The sequence below is a fragment of the Homo sapiens genome, chromosome X (assembly GCF_000001405.40).
Source record: "Homo sapiens chromosome X, GRCh38.p14 Primary Assembly".
NCBI lineage: Eukaryota > Metazoa > Chordata > Mammalia > Primates > Hominidae > Homo > Homo sapiens.
The window spans coordinates 115,272,350-115,289,288 of NC_000023.11; positions in this window are offsets into that span (position 1 = coordinate 115,272,350).

Below are 16,939 nucleotides of genomic sequence, written 5' to 3' on the forward strand. Positions count from 1 at the left end.
TGATACAGAACAAAAGAGGGCACTGGAAGAATATGAGTTAGAAAACCAAAGCCAATTTAGGCCAGAGGAAAAACATGTAGGCTTGAATTATCCAAATGTACACAAACTAAGAGATATAATTTCTGAAATTTCCCTTCATTTTGTAGTGTACAATTGTACTATTTTGTAATGCAGTTAATAATATTCAGAATGTCACCATTTAGAGGAAGATTAATTTAAAATCTTTTACCTACAGATATAAAAGTACAAAACACCTTTAAAAATACTCAGAAAGCAAATATGTTAATTGGTAGCACCATTCAAGGCAGAATTGCTTTTCCAGGATCCTAGCAAGAGAGCATTTTCAAAGTCACACAAACCTAGGATGTTGCATACTCTTCAGTTGTGATATTTAGTTATTATAACAGGATGTATTTTTTCAGTGCCTCAGTTATTATGACATCTTTTGTGACTTGAATTCCAGGTTTGAAACTAAATGTTCCTTTGTCATCATGAAAATGGATAATGCCAAAAGGAATAAATTTAATAAACAGTTTTTTCTGACATCAAATTTAAGGTAATAAAAGTAACACATCTTATTGAAAATAATAATAAATTGTTTTCAAGACTTAATGCATTATGTCTTTTTAAAAATAGAAAAAAATAACATAAGTATCTCACTAGAGGGTGTTATTATCTAACAATTAAATATTAAAATCTGTTGTTTTCAATACAAATGATATTACATAAAATAAAATATAGCATCACCTCTCAAGCCTTATGTTTGCTATTCTGCACACAGGATATGTCATTATGTTGATTTATGAAAATTATCTTAGCAAGCCAAAAAATGGCATTATGCATATTGACCAAGAAAATTACATTTCAGAAATAGTACCCGTCTCAAGTGTGTTAAACCTCAATGTTATAACTAATATACGAAGATGCCATTTGGGTTTTTGTTTTCTTTTGTTTTTAATTTTTTATTTTTAATTTTTGTAGGTACATGAGATGTTTTGATACAGGCATGCAATGTTAAATAATCATATCATAGAGAATGGGGTCTCCATTCCCTCAAGCATTTATCCTCTGTGTAAAGGTGCAATTTTATAAACTTGCATTAGTAAATTAATATTTATAACTTTATTTTCCTCAATAACATCTTAATGCCTTGTATATTTATTTGCAAGAAGAATCTTTATTTTTCTAACTTTGTTTCAAATTTTCAATAATGGAAAATATCCATGTGGAAATTAGGCATATTTTTATAAAACCCCTAAGAATAAATAAAATTATTAAGTAGTGATCTGTAGGGAAGTAACATTTGTTGTATTTTTTAATATGTTACTGTAAGAGTATAGATTTGTTGTACAACAATGTGAATATGCCCAACACTGCTGAACTGTACACTTAAAAATAGTTAAGGTGGTACATTAAGATGGTAAGTTTTATGTTATATGTTTTACCACAATTTTTAAAATAAAAAAAATAAAGGGGTTTACATTTCTAAATCAATCAATGCTTTTGCAATGTTCTCTTGCTATTAAATGAAGTATGGGATAATATCTCAAATATTTTTTTCTGTACAAAGGATATGGCATTATGTCAATCTTTAAACAATTATCCTAGCTGGGGGAAAAAAAGCATTGCACATTTAACTTTGTGTATGAATAACCCCTTGAAAACATGGAAACAAAGAAGGTAATGCTGCCCTTTTAGGAGGTAAACTAGCCAAAATTGAGAAAGATCTGGTAATCTGGTAGGGAGACAGCTTTGATTTTGAATTTGGATATTGTATAAAGTCTATGTAATAAAGGTGAAGGTTAGTTTAAATTCAAACAGTTTCTGATGTGCATCACAAAAATCACAGACTTTCCATCAAAATCTTCTTGCCACTTTATACATATTTATGTGAGAAGGGGATCCTGAAAGACATAGATAAGGAATAGGAAATATAATGTAGTTTCCATCATGTTATAGGCAAATGTGTATGAGAGGACTTCCAATCATATGACAGGCCAAAGGCTAATATCCATAAGATTCAGAGACCTCCTAAAGTCAAGGAAATATAAATATCCCAGTTGAAAAACAGGTGTAGCATGTAAAATATATTTTGCAAAAGGAGAAACAGGAAATAGCCAGTAGACATGAAATAAAAAATCAGCCTCCACTGGGCAGGGTGGCTCACGCCTGTAGTGTTGGCACTTTGAGAGGCTGAGGCAGGAGGATTACTTGAGTCCAGGAGTTCGAGATCAGCCTGGGAAACATAATGAGACCTCATCGCTAGAAAAGATTTTTAAAATTAGCCAAGCATGGCGGTTGATACAGTTTGGGTGTTATTGTTGCCTTTAAATTCCATGTGGAAATGTAATGCCCAATGATGGAAGTGGAGCCTGCTGGGAGGTGTTTGGGTCATGAGGGAGGATCCCTCATAGCTTGATGCTGTCTTCGCAAAAGTAAACAAGTTCTCATGAGATCTGGTTGTTTGAAAGCGTGTGGCACCTACCCACCCTCTTGCTCCTGCTCTCACCATGTGACACCCTGCTCTAAAAAAATGAAAAAACAGTAATGTAGTCAGGTGTCGTGGTGTGTGTCTGTAGTCCCAGCTATTCAAGAGGCTTAGGTGGGAGGATAACTTGAGCCCAGGAGTTCAAAACGGCAGTAAGCTATGATCCTGCCACTGCACTCCAGCCTGGGCAACAGAACAAGACCCCATCTCTAAAAAATAAAAATAAAAAATAGAAATTAAACAGGTATGTTGATATATAATTTACATACCATACAAATCACCTACATGAAGTATACACTATACCCATTACTGAAAGTCTCCAACTATTGTTGTTGAATTTTCTCTTTCTCCCTTCAATTTAGTCAGTTTTTGTTTCATGTATGTGGGGCTCTGTTGTTATGTGCAAATATGCTTGTGATTGTTTCTCTACACCTTTATACCATAAGAGAGAATTTTTATTCTACTCTCCAATTCTACAGCACATTGATGATTAGTCTATTATATGACTTTTTCACAATTCTCTGTTATTTTATGATTTTGTATTTGTTGCTCTCCCTACTGCGTCTCAGTTTTCTCTGCACTACAGAACCTAGTGTGATCTGAGAGACCAAAATAGACACCCCTCTGTCAACTAAGATGAACCCAAAGGTTAAGGAAACAAAGTTATGGGTCGAAGATTCAGGGTCTGGTTGAAATGGCAAATTTCTAAATTCCTACAGCTAAACTCTCCAACAATGGGAGCTATCAGCTATAACTCTGATTGGACAGAAGACCAACCAACCACACAAACATTTTTTTTTCTGATAAGCTAACAGAAACCTTAGGCCAGTTTCATCCATCTTATAGAGGCTACACACAAACCGCTTTTGTGTCCTGGAGTTCACCTTTTCATGTAAAGAAAGCCCTGCCCCAAAGTGAACGTGGGATGTGTGTTTACTCAATCCATATGTACTTAGCTCCCCTCATAAATATGTAAAGCTTTTCCTCCAAACCTACTAAAAATGTATAATATCCTGAATATGTATGAGGCTCTGTAAGGCATAAAATCCAACCTGCCCTTCCCCTCTTCAGAGTGAGCACCTTCAGTCCATGCTGGGGATGTTCTTTTTCCAGCTTGCAAACCAGTATTGCCAATGAAGCTCTCCTTTCTACTATTTAGCCATCTTGGCAGTCTTTTGGAAGACACTAGTAAATTACGAAGGAGAAAATAGGTAGTCAACCCATGTTGTGAAATGACTGAATGAATGCCATTGTTTCGTATTAGCCTCAAAGATATTCTTGCCATGCTTAGCATTTGAGTTCAATATTCTGATATCCTACTGTCTTAGTCTATTTTTTGTTGCTGTAATAGAATACCTGAGGCTGGGTAATTTATAAAAAAGAGAAATTTATTTGGCTCCTCGTTCTGCAGACTGTACAAGAAGCATGGCTCTGACATCTGCTCAGCTTCTTGTGAGGGCTTTCGTGCTGCATGAAAACATGGTGGCGAAGGTCAAAGGGGAGTCAGGCACATGGGAAAAGAGGGAAACCTGAGGGGCATACTAGCTTTATAACTACCAACTCTGCAGGAACTAATCCATTCCATGAGAACAAATTCAGTCTGGAGAGAGTGAGAACTCAAGAATAGCATCCAAGCCACTCATGAGGGATCCACCCCATTGCCTTAACACCTCCCACTAGGACCTACCTCCCAACACTGCCACATTGGTAATCAAATTTTGACATAAGCTTTGGTGAGGACAAACAAACCATAGCCAAATTGCAGCACCAACTTTCTCAAAGGCAACTTTAAAAATGCAACCAACACTTGAAAATGTCAAGTAGAGAACCGGCAAGGTGGCTCACACCTGTAATCTCAGCACTTTGGGAGGCCAAGGTGGGCAGATCACTTGAGCTCAGGAGTTCGAGACCAGCCTGGCCAACATGACAAAACCCCGTCTCTACTAAAAATACAAAAATTGGCCAAGTGCGGTAGCTCACGCCTGTAATCCCAGCACATTGGGAGGCCGAGGCAGGCAGATCATGAAGTCAAGGGAACGAGATGATCCTGGACAACACTGTGAAACCCCGTCTCTACTAAAAATACAAAAATTGGCTGGGCATGGTGGTACGCACCAATAGTCCCAGCTACTCGGGAGGCTGAGGCAGGAGAATCGCTTGAACCCGGGAGGAGGAGGTTGCAGTTAGCCGAGATCACGCCCCTGCCTTCCAGCCTGACGACAGACCAAGACTCTGTCTCAAAAACAAACAAACAAAAAATAAAAAAATTAGCCAGGCATGGTAGCACGCACCTGTAATCTCAGCTACTTGGGAGGAGGAGACAGGAGAATCACTTGAACCCAGGAGGTGGAGGTTGCAGTGAGCCGAGATCATGCCACTGCACTCCAGCCTGTGCAACAACAACAACAAAAAAGGAAATGTCAAGTAAAATTTGGATAAAACTTCCCCCAAAATTTCCTTCATACATTTCAGCATATCCCATATGTAATTCATTTATGTGAGAAAATTAGCATAGTTACAAAGGGAGAGTTCTGCTCCTTTCTAACTTCTTCTTGTATATATTTACAACACTTTTACATAAATGATTTCATTTCTCTTGGTGTTTTTAAAGCATTTCATTTATTTTATTCATTGATAAGTAAAAATTGTACATATTCATGGCATGCAACATGATGTTTTGGTTTTTTTTTGGCTCGGAATCATTTGCTTCCAGTTATGTTTGGTTTCTTTGTATTTTTTGTTTTTTAAAACAATATTTTTTATTTATGCATAATAGATGGACATAGTTTTAGGGTGCATGTGATAATTTAATACATTCATATAATTTGTAGAGATCAAATCAGTGTTACTTGGGGTATCCATCAACTTAAATATTTGTCTTTTCTTTATGCTAGAAACATTTTAATGATTCTCCTCTAGCTATTTTGAAATGCACAAGATATTATTGTAAACTATAGTCACCCTACTGATGTATCAAACACTAGGTCTATGTCTTCTATTGAACCTTATATTTGACATGATGTTTTGATATATTATCCACCTGATTTTAAATTTCGACACCACTAATGTGTTCAGTGAAAGGCCAGGAGTAAGAAAGTGGAACAGGAAAAAAAAACTAGTAGCATTAAATATTTGCTCCACTTATATCTATTTTATTTGCTGTCTACCATTAGCCAGGCTTGTAATCTAGAATTGCAGGATAAGAGAAATAATAGATTATTTACTCTCTAGGAAAGTACTTAGGCAATTTTAAGAAATATGAACATGAGCTTTGATAAAAGTTCAAAGAGTTTACTCTCTTTAAAAGTTATATAATCCTCTCTTTATATGATTTTGTATTTATACTGCTAAATATTTGGAAACTTGTTTGGCTACCTAATAAGCAGCAGAAATTAATACTTAGAATATGCTTTTTAAAAGTCACCTTAAATAAATAATGCAGGCTGGGTGCAGTGGCTCAGGCCTGTAACCCCAGTCCTTTGGGATGATCGTTTGAGCCCAGGAGCTCGAGACCAGCCTGGGCAACATAGTGAGAACCTGTCTCTACAAAAAATAAAAAGTTAACCAGTCATGGCAGTGTACACTTGTAGTCCCAGTTACCTGGGAGACTGAGGCAAGAGGATTGCTTGAGTCCAGGAAGTCAAGGCTGTGGTGAATCATGATCACACCACTGCACTCCAGCCAGGGTGATAAAACTATATATACACACACACATATATGTGTGTGTGTGCGTGTCTTTTTAAAAACAAAAGGAAGTACAGCATCTTGAAAAGAGTTTTAAAAAATCTAATAGTATAACTAACAATCTTGTTTAAAATATTAGCCTTTAAAAGAAAGTCTCTTTAGAAACCTTATGTTTGAAACATATAGAAATATTTCTACAAGATCATAATCCATATTTTTTCTTGCAGAAAATTCAGTAACTAAGTTCTAATGAAATATTTCCAAGAAAGCAAGATGTTTGGATTGCATTCTATTAAATCAGGAGATTAAAAAATTAGTTAAGGTAATCCACCACATCAACGGGCTTAAAAAGAAAAATCACATGATCATATGAGTAGATGCAGAAAAAGCATACAACAAAATCCAACACTGATTCATAACAAAAACTCATAAGAAACTAGTGATAGAGAGGAACTGCCTCAACTTGATGAAGAATAGCTACAAAAAACCTACAACAATTAAAGTGGGTGGGGAAAGAGGGAGAAGGCAAATTTGCCTGGTTCAATCCCCTGTATAACATCGTTTCTTTTCTTCTTTCTTTTTATTTATTTATTTATTTTTTTTTTTTAGAGATGGGATCTTGCTCTGTAGCCCAGGCTAGAGTACAGGGATGTCATCACAGCCACTGGAGCCTTGAATTCCTGGGCTCAAGTCATCCTCCTGACTCAGCCTCCTAAAGTGCTGGGATTAAAACGTCATTTCTTTTGTGATCCTATAACACATTTCAATTATCCAAAGATAGAGGTGAAGCATGTGATTATATAACAAAACTAACTGACCACATGTATAACCACATGTTCCAAACATTCTTTGTTCTTTTGTCCATCAAACATCAGAATACCGACTATGTGCCAGATACTATGCTGGAAATATTGGTGGCATAAAGATGAAAAAGACTCATAAAGATGAATTCACCACCATTTAAGAATTCACAACTTAGTAGGGGTTCAGGGGATAGATTCATTTATTTATCATTCACTTACTCATGCGTGCATTCTCAGTTTAAATCCTGGCATTGTCACTTACTAGCTTTGTGACCTCAAAGAAGATACTTAACCTTTCTATGTTTCAATTTCCTCATATATAAAATGGGAGTAAAAATAATATCCAAGGCCAGATGCTTCTTAACAGCATGTACAACTGAGTTCAGTGGCTCGTGCCTGTAATCCTAGTACTTTGGGAAGCTGAGGTAGGTGGATTGCTTGAGCCCAGGAGTTTGAGAATAGTCTAGGCAACAGGGTGAAGCCCCGTCTCTACAAAAAAATATAATAATAAAAATATTAGCCAGGCATGGTGGTGCATGCCTGTGGTCCCAGCTACACGCGGGGCTGAGGATTGCTTTAGCCCAGGAGGACAAGGCTGCAGTGAGCTGTGTTCGTGCCACCACACTCCAGCCTGGGTGACAGAGTGAGACCCTGCCTCAAAAATAAATAAATAAATAAATAAATCCATTTCATAAGACTGTTTACAGAAAGTATGTTCTTAATAAATACTACTTAGTATCATTGTCATCAGAGTACTAGGTGCTGGTTATTATTATTATCATTAAACTACTAGGTTAAGAAGAGAAACATAATCCTTGACTTTTTGTAGTTGCAGTCTAGTGGAGGAGATGCATAACTGACAAATAAACAAACAAATTAATATGAAATACAAATTGTGACACATACAATTGAGGTAGATATGCAAATAATTCATATGCAACATGATATATGCTATGGTATAAGAGGGATACATAAAGTGCAACAGGAGTAGAGAGGAGGTAAAAATTCTCTTTGTCAGAAGAGATTTGGCAAGGCTTTACAGAGGTGGTGACATTTGAGATTGGTTCAGAAGAATAAATAAGTAGGGGCTTAAGTTGGAGGGAGAATCTTTAAGATCATTCTAATCTAAGGGGACAGTATATACAAAAGCACATAGTTTGCAAATGTGTTCAGAAAACAGTATTTCTTTTCATGTGGATGAAGCATGATCATGATAACATCATGCTCTTACATGGTAGGGGTGGTAGGGAGTAGCAGGAGAAGCTCTGAGAGACAGTGAAAATATTATGGGTTATGGTGTCAAAGAGTCTTAGGTTGTTATGCTGGTATTGCTACTTACGAGGGATAAAACCTTGCACAAATTACTTAAACTTTCTCATTCTTGGTTTTTTCATTTTAAAAATAGAGTTAACTGCCCCCCACCCTGTTGCTTGGGTATTAGTTCCCACTTGCCTTTGCAGTATTCAGAGTTGAGCTTAATCTCTCTCCCCTACTGGCTTTTAGGCTTTTAGCAGCCTCAAGACATAGTTTTTAGTTTCTGTCTCCAGTAATAAGCAGAAAAGAGGGATGAGGAAGGGGTTTTACTGGCTCAACCAGAAACAGAAACTAAGAACCCATGACTATATTCTCTCCCTTGCACACCCCTGCGAAGGCACTAGGAAAGAATCCTTCCTTGACTCTTCCTAGCTTCTTGTGGTTGTCAGCAATCATTGGTGTTCCTTGGCTTGTAGTTGCATCTCTTCAATCCCTTCCTCCGTCATCACATGGCCTTCTTTCCTGTGTGGCTGTATCTCTGTTATGGCTTTCTGATCAGGACAGTAGTAATTGAATTTAGGACCCACCCTAATCTACTATGACCTCATCCTAACTAATTACAGTTATGAAGGCCTTATTTTCAAATAAGATCACATTTTGAGATTCTGAGTGGACATGAATCTTGGAGGGACCCAATTTAACCTAGTACATCATGGAAGTAGAAAGCTCTATTGAGATCACATTGTGAGGGGACTCTTGTATGTTTGGATAAATGTTTTTTACTTTTGTTATGCAATAGGAAACTATCAAATGCTTTGAAAAAGTGGAATGACCTTATCAGATCTGTACATTTAAAACATAATCCTGAAGTATTAGGATGGCTAAGTGACCTAAAGTACCAGAATCATAGAAATGCAGTGGGTAAATCATAGTCTTTTATTTTTTTTTAACAAATGCTGACTCAACTGGATATATACATAGACAAAAATGAACTCTCACTCCTACTTAGCTCATATAAAGAATCAATTCCAGGCAGATTGTTTTTCTACATGTCAAAGGGAAAACAATAAATCTTTTAGAACAAAACATAGGATAATACCACCATGAACTAAGGGACAGGCAAAAATTTCTTATCAGATAGAAAAAGACCTAGCTACAAATGCAAAATTGATAAATTGAACTTCATTAAAATTAAGAACTTCTGTTCATCAAATGATAGCATTAAAAGAGTAAAAAGGCAGGCTACAGCCTGGGAGAAGATATTTGCCACGTGTAGAGCACTCATGCAAAAGATATCAAGAATCCCTACAAGCCAATAAGAAGACCAAACCCAATACAGTATGTGCAGAGAATTGAGCAAATACTTCACAGAAGAGGATATTCAAATGTCCAGTAAGAACATGAAAAGATGCTTAACATAATTACTTATCAGAGAAATATAAATTTAATTCATGAAATGATATTATTACATACCCACCAGAATAAACTCAAAAGAGGGAGAAAAAGATTGACGAGAAATTTGCAGTTTCATACACTGGATGTGAGAGTGTAAGTTGGTATAATCATTCTGGAAAACTAATAGTATCTACTGATGCTAAACATACATATAAATGATGACCCTGCTATCTATCAGTTCATCAATCTATCTATCCATCCACTAAGGAGAGAAATTAATGCGTATATTCCCCCAAAGGACTTATTGTACACAAATATTTATAATAGCCATTGACATTATGAAAATAAGATTACTCAGGAAGAGTATGATGAAGATGCTGCTAGTAATAATAATAATAAAAGTGACCATTAATATTTACTGAGGACCTACTATGTGCTAGGTGCTTTATATGCATTAACTTTAATCCTAATAACCCTTCAGGATAGATAATAATCCTGTTTTACAGGTGAAGAAATTAAGACTCAGAGGTGCCCTAGGCCCTGCAAATTATAAGTGAGCAGAGCTTGGAATTAAACTCATTTGTCTTAAGTCCCTTATTCATTCTAGCATGTCATACTACCTCCCCAATTTAAATATCTGACATAATCATGACAGATTTATTTACTTCTTTAATAAAGTTTTATTTTATTTGTTCCTACTGTATAAGCAATTAAAATAAAAAAATCTGAAAATACCAGAAAATAGAAACAAAAGTAATAACGCTTCAGTCCATGAACCCAAAACATTAGTTACCATTTGATGTATTTGTAAATCTGTTTTTTCTATAAAGGTTCAAATATAATTGTAAGTAGACTAGACTATTTTGTATTCAGCTCTTCACTTAAAATTAGAATATAAGCATTTTCATTATTTCACACCCTTCATGAGCATCACTTTAAATTAGCCATTTTGCAAAGGATCCAAAAATTCACATTGTACAGTATTGTATTTTGAAATTTTACCTAACAATAAAGGGTCCATGTTAAAACTGGAGTTATTTGGCTGTGAATTAAGCCTATCACATTTTGTTGTGGCATTGAGGTTGGCTATAGTATTCATTATCTGTAAACAATAACCTTTCATAAAATTGTTTTTTAAAATCTGGATAAAATTACCCCCAAATCAATGTCAACTGCTAGGGCTGTACTTATAATCATGAAATTAGGAATGTATCCCTTATATTTAAGTAACAACAACATTAGGTAGGTATTTAAAGCCATGCATTAAAGATTTATTTTTTTAGTTACACAACCAGAAGCTTACAAATCTGAGGCAGAAAAGCAAGAAACAAAATTTAATATATATACATACATATATCTATACTTTTTTTTTACTATGTACGGTTTTTTAACCTTTATTTTTTATTGATATATAATAGTTGTAATTATTTTGGAGTTACATGTGATATTTCGATACCTGTATACAATGTGTAATGATAAAATCAAGGTAACTGGGATATCCATCACCTCAAACATTTATCTTACCTTTATGTTGGGAACATTACAAATCTTCTCTTCCAGTTATTTTGACATATACAATAAATTATTGTTAACTATAATTTCCTACTGTACTGTTAAATGCTATATTCAAATTATTTAACGTAGAAAGTGTGGCTAGAAGGAAATAAATGAAATGTTTAAAATGATCTTTGAATATTTGGTTTTATTTACTTACTTTTTTTTTTTTTGAACTGGAATCTCATTCTGTCACCTAGGCTGGAGTGCAGTGGTGCAATCTCGGCTCACTGCAACCTCTGCCCCCCGGGTTCCAGTGATTCTCCTGCCTCAGCCCCACAGGTAGCTGGGATTACAGGCGTGCACCACCATGCCCAGCTAATTTTTGTATTTTTAGTAGAAAGGGTGTTTCACCATGTTGGCCAGGCTGGCCTCGAACTCCTGACCTCAGGTGATCTGCCCGCCTCGGCCTCCCAAAATGCTGGGATTACAGGCGTGAGCCACTGTGCCCAGCCTATTTATTTACTTTTTTATGTTTTCCAGACTGCCTACAAAAATATGAGTGAAACTGATCATTTAAAAGTATAATTTAAATATTGGGTTTGTTTTATTTTTGGAAAAGGAAGAAATAGAGGTTTGCCCTAGATATTGTTGGAACATATATCAGTTGATCTATTTAGGGATCAACTGATTACCCACGGAAGAATAAATTAAGCTTATCTTAAAAAGCACACAACCTAGCAATAGAAATTATTTTATTCCTAAAATGTGTTGGCCGAAAACAATATAACCGAGCTCTTTCTCTAAAGAACTTAACCTTGGCCAGGTGTGGTGGCCCACGCCTGTAATCCCAACACTTTGGGACGCTTACGTGATTGGATTGCTTGACGTCAAGAGTTTGAGAGCAGCCTGGACAACATGGTGAAAACCCATCTCTACAAATAATAAAAAAATTAGCAAAATGTGGTGGCACACACCTGTGGGCCTGGTTTTGCAAAGGAAATCTGCCTAAGAATTGATAGCTAAGGCCAGACACAGCAGCTCATGCCTGTAAATCCCAGCACTTTGGGAGGCCGAGGAAGGCAGGACACTTGAGCCCAGGATTTCGAGATCAGCCTGGGCAACACAGGGAGACCCCTATCTCTACAAAAAAATAAAAAAATTAGCAGGTTCAGTTTTTTACTGAAATATCATAGTGCTTAATTTCCATTCTAGGTACTTAAAATCGTTTATGTTGCTACTGCCTGTCTAGTGCAATGATTAACTATGTGTTCCTTTATTACTATGTTCATTTGTATTTTAAAAACCTGAGAAACTGAGAATGGTCTTAAGTCATGTGATTTAAATAACTAGCAAGAGAAGTCTCTGTGTGTCTGTTTTTTCTGCAATATCAGATTAAAAGGAAGCTCAGTAACCACTGAACCTAACTCATTGAAGTAGGCAGTAATCTAGCTTCTGCTTTAATATTCACAGTGTCAAGTATGTCAGTTCAATGCAGCTTCTCCTGTTGTAGTTTCGTCCCATTGTTTTAGTTTTCATTATTAGAAAGTTTGTCTCTATATAGTGCAGAAATCTGTTTTCCTGTAATTTGGGTCAACTTGGGATAATGCTGCCCTCTCCTGCCAGACCGAATAATAAATTCACTCCCTCTTCCATAAAATTATTTGAAGACAGTTATTATGGTCCCCTGAGATTTCTGTTCTACGGGCAAAATTTCTTCAACCATGCTTCAGATGACATGATTTAAATCTCCTCACAAACCTGGTTGATTTTCTTTGGTTTCACTGCAGTTTGTCCGGTAACAACTGGTGCCCAAAACTGAAGCAAAAAGCAATGAATTGTCTCCTTTATATTTCTCTTGATGCCAATAGAAAGAGTTCTTAGTTGAATGTGACAAATCCTAGCTGCTTTAAGCATAGAAGAAATTTATTGAAAGCCTGTTATGTTACATAGCTCAAGGAATAGCCATGACGTCTAAAGAATCAAGCTCAGGAAAAAGTGCAGGAACCAAGAGAGGTGAGAAATTTATAGTATTAGCTAAAATCACACATCAAAACGAATCTGAAGAGGCCACCACTGCCACACACTAGATACTGTGATTTGCAACACTGCCATTGCTGCCTCAAGAAACTGGCTTTTGCTGTTGCCACTGCTGTTGCCAGAATTCCACACTGTCCCTGCTGTTTTGTTTTGTTTTGTTTGAGACAGGATCTTGCTCTGTCTCTCAGATTGGAGTTGCAGTGGTGAGATAATGGCTCACTGCAGCCTCTGCCTCCCTGGCTCAAGCGATCCCCCCATCTCAGCCTCCTGAGTAGCTGGGACCACAGGTATGCACCACTACGCCTGGCTAATTTTTTAATTTTTTGTAGAGACGGGGTCTCACATTGTTGTCACTTTGTTGGCTGACCTCGAACTCCAGGGCTCAAGGGATCCTCCCGCCTCAACCTCTCAAAGTGCTGAGATTACAGGCATGAGCACCACGCCAAGACTGATGTTTTAAAAGGCTCACTTTGGTTTCTGCGTGGTTTTGCAAGTCTGTCCCTGGATGCTAGATTTGTGCTCATTCTTCGAATTTGAGAGAACCTATTTGAATGAAGGCAGAGAAGTTCAACTAAGAGAAGTGAAAGTTATGCAAGATCAAATTAATCAAATAACAAGCAATTTCAAGCAAAGCACGATGTCTTTCAAAGTTATCTCCTGGTCCCATCTCTACTATGGCTCAATTCTGAAACCTAGGGAGAAAGGAAATTCATTGATTATTTCCTTACTTCCTTTTGTTTATTTTTATTTATTAATTTAATTTATTTATTTGAAACAGAGTCTGGCTCTGTCGCCCAGGCTGGAGTGTGGTGGTGCAATCTCAGCTCACTGCAATCTCTGCCTCCTGTGTTCAAGCAATTCTCCTGCCTCAGCTTCCCAAGCAGCTGGGATTACAGGCGCACACCACCATGCACGGCTAATTTGTGTATTTTTGGTACAGTTGGGGTTTCACCATGTTGGCCAGGCTGGTCTGGAATTCCTGACCTCAAGTGATCTGCCTGTCTTGGCCTCCCAAAGTGCTGGGATTACAGGTGTTAGCCACTGGGCCGGCCTCCCTTTTCTTTATTTCTAATGTGTCTCTCTTTGCTAGCTCCTTTCTCATGACCTATAAGCATGTTTAATTTAATCTCTTCCATTAAAAAAAAACTACCCTCATGTCCTTTGTAGGGACATGGATGAAGCTGGAAACCATCATTCTCAGCAAACTATTGCAAGGACAGAAAACCAAACACTGCATGTTCTCACTCATAGGTGGGAATTGAACAATGAAAACACATGGACACAGGAAGGGGCACATCACACTATGGGGCCTGTTGTGGGGTGGGGGGAGGGGGGAGGGATAGCATTAGGAGATATACCTAATGTAAATGACGAGTTAATGGGTGTAGCACACCAACATGGCACATGTATACATATGTAACAAAGTTGCACGTTGTGCACATGTACCCTAAAACTTAAAGTATAATTAAAAAAAAACCACCCTATACTACCTTGTGTAAAGGTAGTAGTTACAAGCGTGATTTTTAGAGCTGAACTGCATGGGTTTGAAGTAATTGCAACATTTACCAGCTCTGTGTCCTTGGGCAATTTTTTAAATGTCTTTGTGCCTTCTTTTCCTTGCTGGTAAAAGGAGATAATATTATTTCTCATGGGGTTATTGTGAAGATTAAATTATTGAATATTTGTAAAGCTCTCAGAACAATGCCGGGCAGATAGTAAATGCTTTATGTGTTTGTTAAATAAAAATTAGTTGTTTATCAGTTTATAGCCTGCTAGAACTCTGCTGAAGGTAAAAACCGGATCTCATAATTACTAAATTTAATGAATTAATCAGTTCTTAGCTTATTTGACTTTCTATCAACCCTTGACAAGATGGACCCGTCGGTTCCTCCTGGAGTTCTCCCTTAATAAATGAATACCTCTTTCCTGGTTCTACCCATATCTCTCTGATATTTTCTACTCAATGTTCTTTTTAATTTTCTTGGGGTTCTATCTTTGATCCTCTTTCATTCTCACTTCATACCTGACAGAAAAATAAATCTGACAGAAAAAAAGGCCCAAACCATTAGCATAATATATTATAAAAGTCACTCCATGATCTAATATCTGTTGATCTCTTTAGACTCATCTCTCAGTACCCACCACATGGAATGAATAGAACTTTCCACAGTGTGTTAGTGGTGCTGCTTCCTCTGCCAAGAAATACCATTCCCACCCCTACAATTATTCCCTAATTTCTCAGGATTTAAATAATTTTTTCTTGATTCCTTGGGTGAATTTTCTCCTTTGAATCCCAAATACATTTTGTACATACCTGTATCCTCAGAACCTAACACAGCAGGAGCTCAGTATTTGTTGACAGACTAAATTACAGCACCTAAATTAATATTTTGCATGCATTTATTGTCTTCAGGCAATTGTATATGCATGGAGAAACAGATTTATTTATTAATCTTTAGGTCCCAGGTGCGAAGCATTTACTTAAATACAATAAATAGTTAAATAATTTACATTTTTCAAAATCTCTTCCGGCATTTATTTATGTTGTGGATTCTGTAATAGCTTGAACATATTTTTACCTTTGAAAATGTATTAATTTGATTTTTATTTCTACTGAAGAGCCAGTGACAAGATTTCTCTAATATTTTAAAGTAGCATTTGATTGAGCAGTATTAGGTGATAACAAGAACAATTACATTTTTCTTAAGAAATGTCATGGACACATCTTCAAGGTCATTGAACAGCATGTGGCAGGCCGGGTATGGTGGCTCATGCCTGTAATCCCAGCACTTTGGGAGGCCAAGGTGGGAGGATTGCTTGAGGCCAGGAGTTTGAGATCAGCTTGGCCAACATGGTGAGATCCCCATCTCTACAGCCCAAGAGGAGCCTGGGAGGTTAAGGCATGCCAACCTTGGCAACAGATCGAGGAAAGAAAGAAAAAAGAAAAGAAAGAAAAGAAAGAAAAAGAAAGGAAGGAAGGAAGGAAAAAAGGAAGGAAGGAAGCAAGGAAGCAAGGGAGAGAAGGGAAGGGAAGGGGAGGGGAGGGGAGGGGAGGGAAGGGAAGGGAATAGCCGGGTGTGGTGAGGGAGGAAGGCCGAGGCGGGTGGAAAGAGAGAAGTTAGGAAGAAGGAAGGAAGGGAGGGAGGGAGGGAGGAAGGAAGGAAGGAAAAGAAAGAGAGGAAGGAAGGAAGAAAGAGAGAGAGAAAGAAAGAAAAAAAGAAAGAAAGGGAAAAGAAAGAAAGAGAAAAAGAAAGAAAGAAAGAAAAGAAAGAGAAAGAAAAGAAAGAAAGGAAGAAAGGAAGGAAGGAAAAGAAATAACCAGGTGCGGTGAGGGAGGGATGCCAAGGCAGATGGAAAGAAAGAAGTTAGGAAGAAGAAAGAGAGGGTGGGAGGGAGGAAGGGAGGGAGGGAGGAAGGAAGGAAGGAAAGAAGGAAGGGAGGGACAGAGGGAGGGAGGGAAAGTGTGGGCGCTGTGGTATGAGGGTAGCACAGACGGGTAGATCACTTGAGCCCAGGAGACCAGCCTGGCCAACATGGTGAAACCCTATCTCTACTAAAAACACAAAAATTAGCCAGGCGTGGTGGCGCGCTCCTGTAATCTCAGCTACTTGGGAGGCTGACGTGGGAGAATCGCTTGAACCCCAGAGGCGGAGGTTGCAGTGAACGGAGTTGGCGCCACTTCACGCCAGCCTGGGTGACAAAGAGATACTGTGTCTCAAAAAAACAAAAAACAAAAAACAAAAACGAAAAGAAAGACAGAAAAGAAAGCGTGTGGCATTGC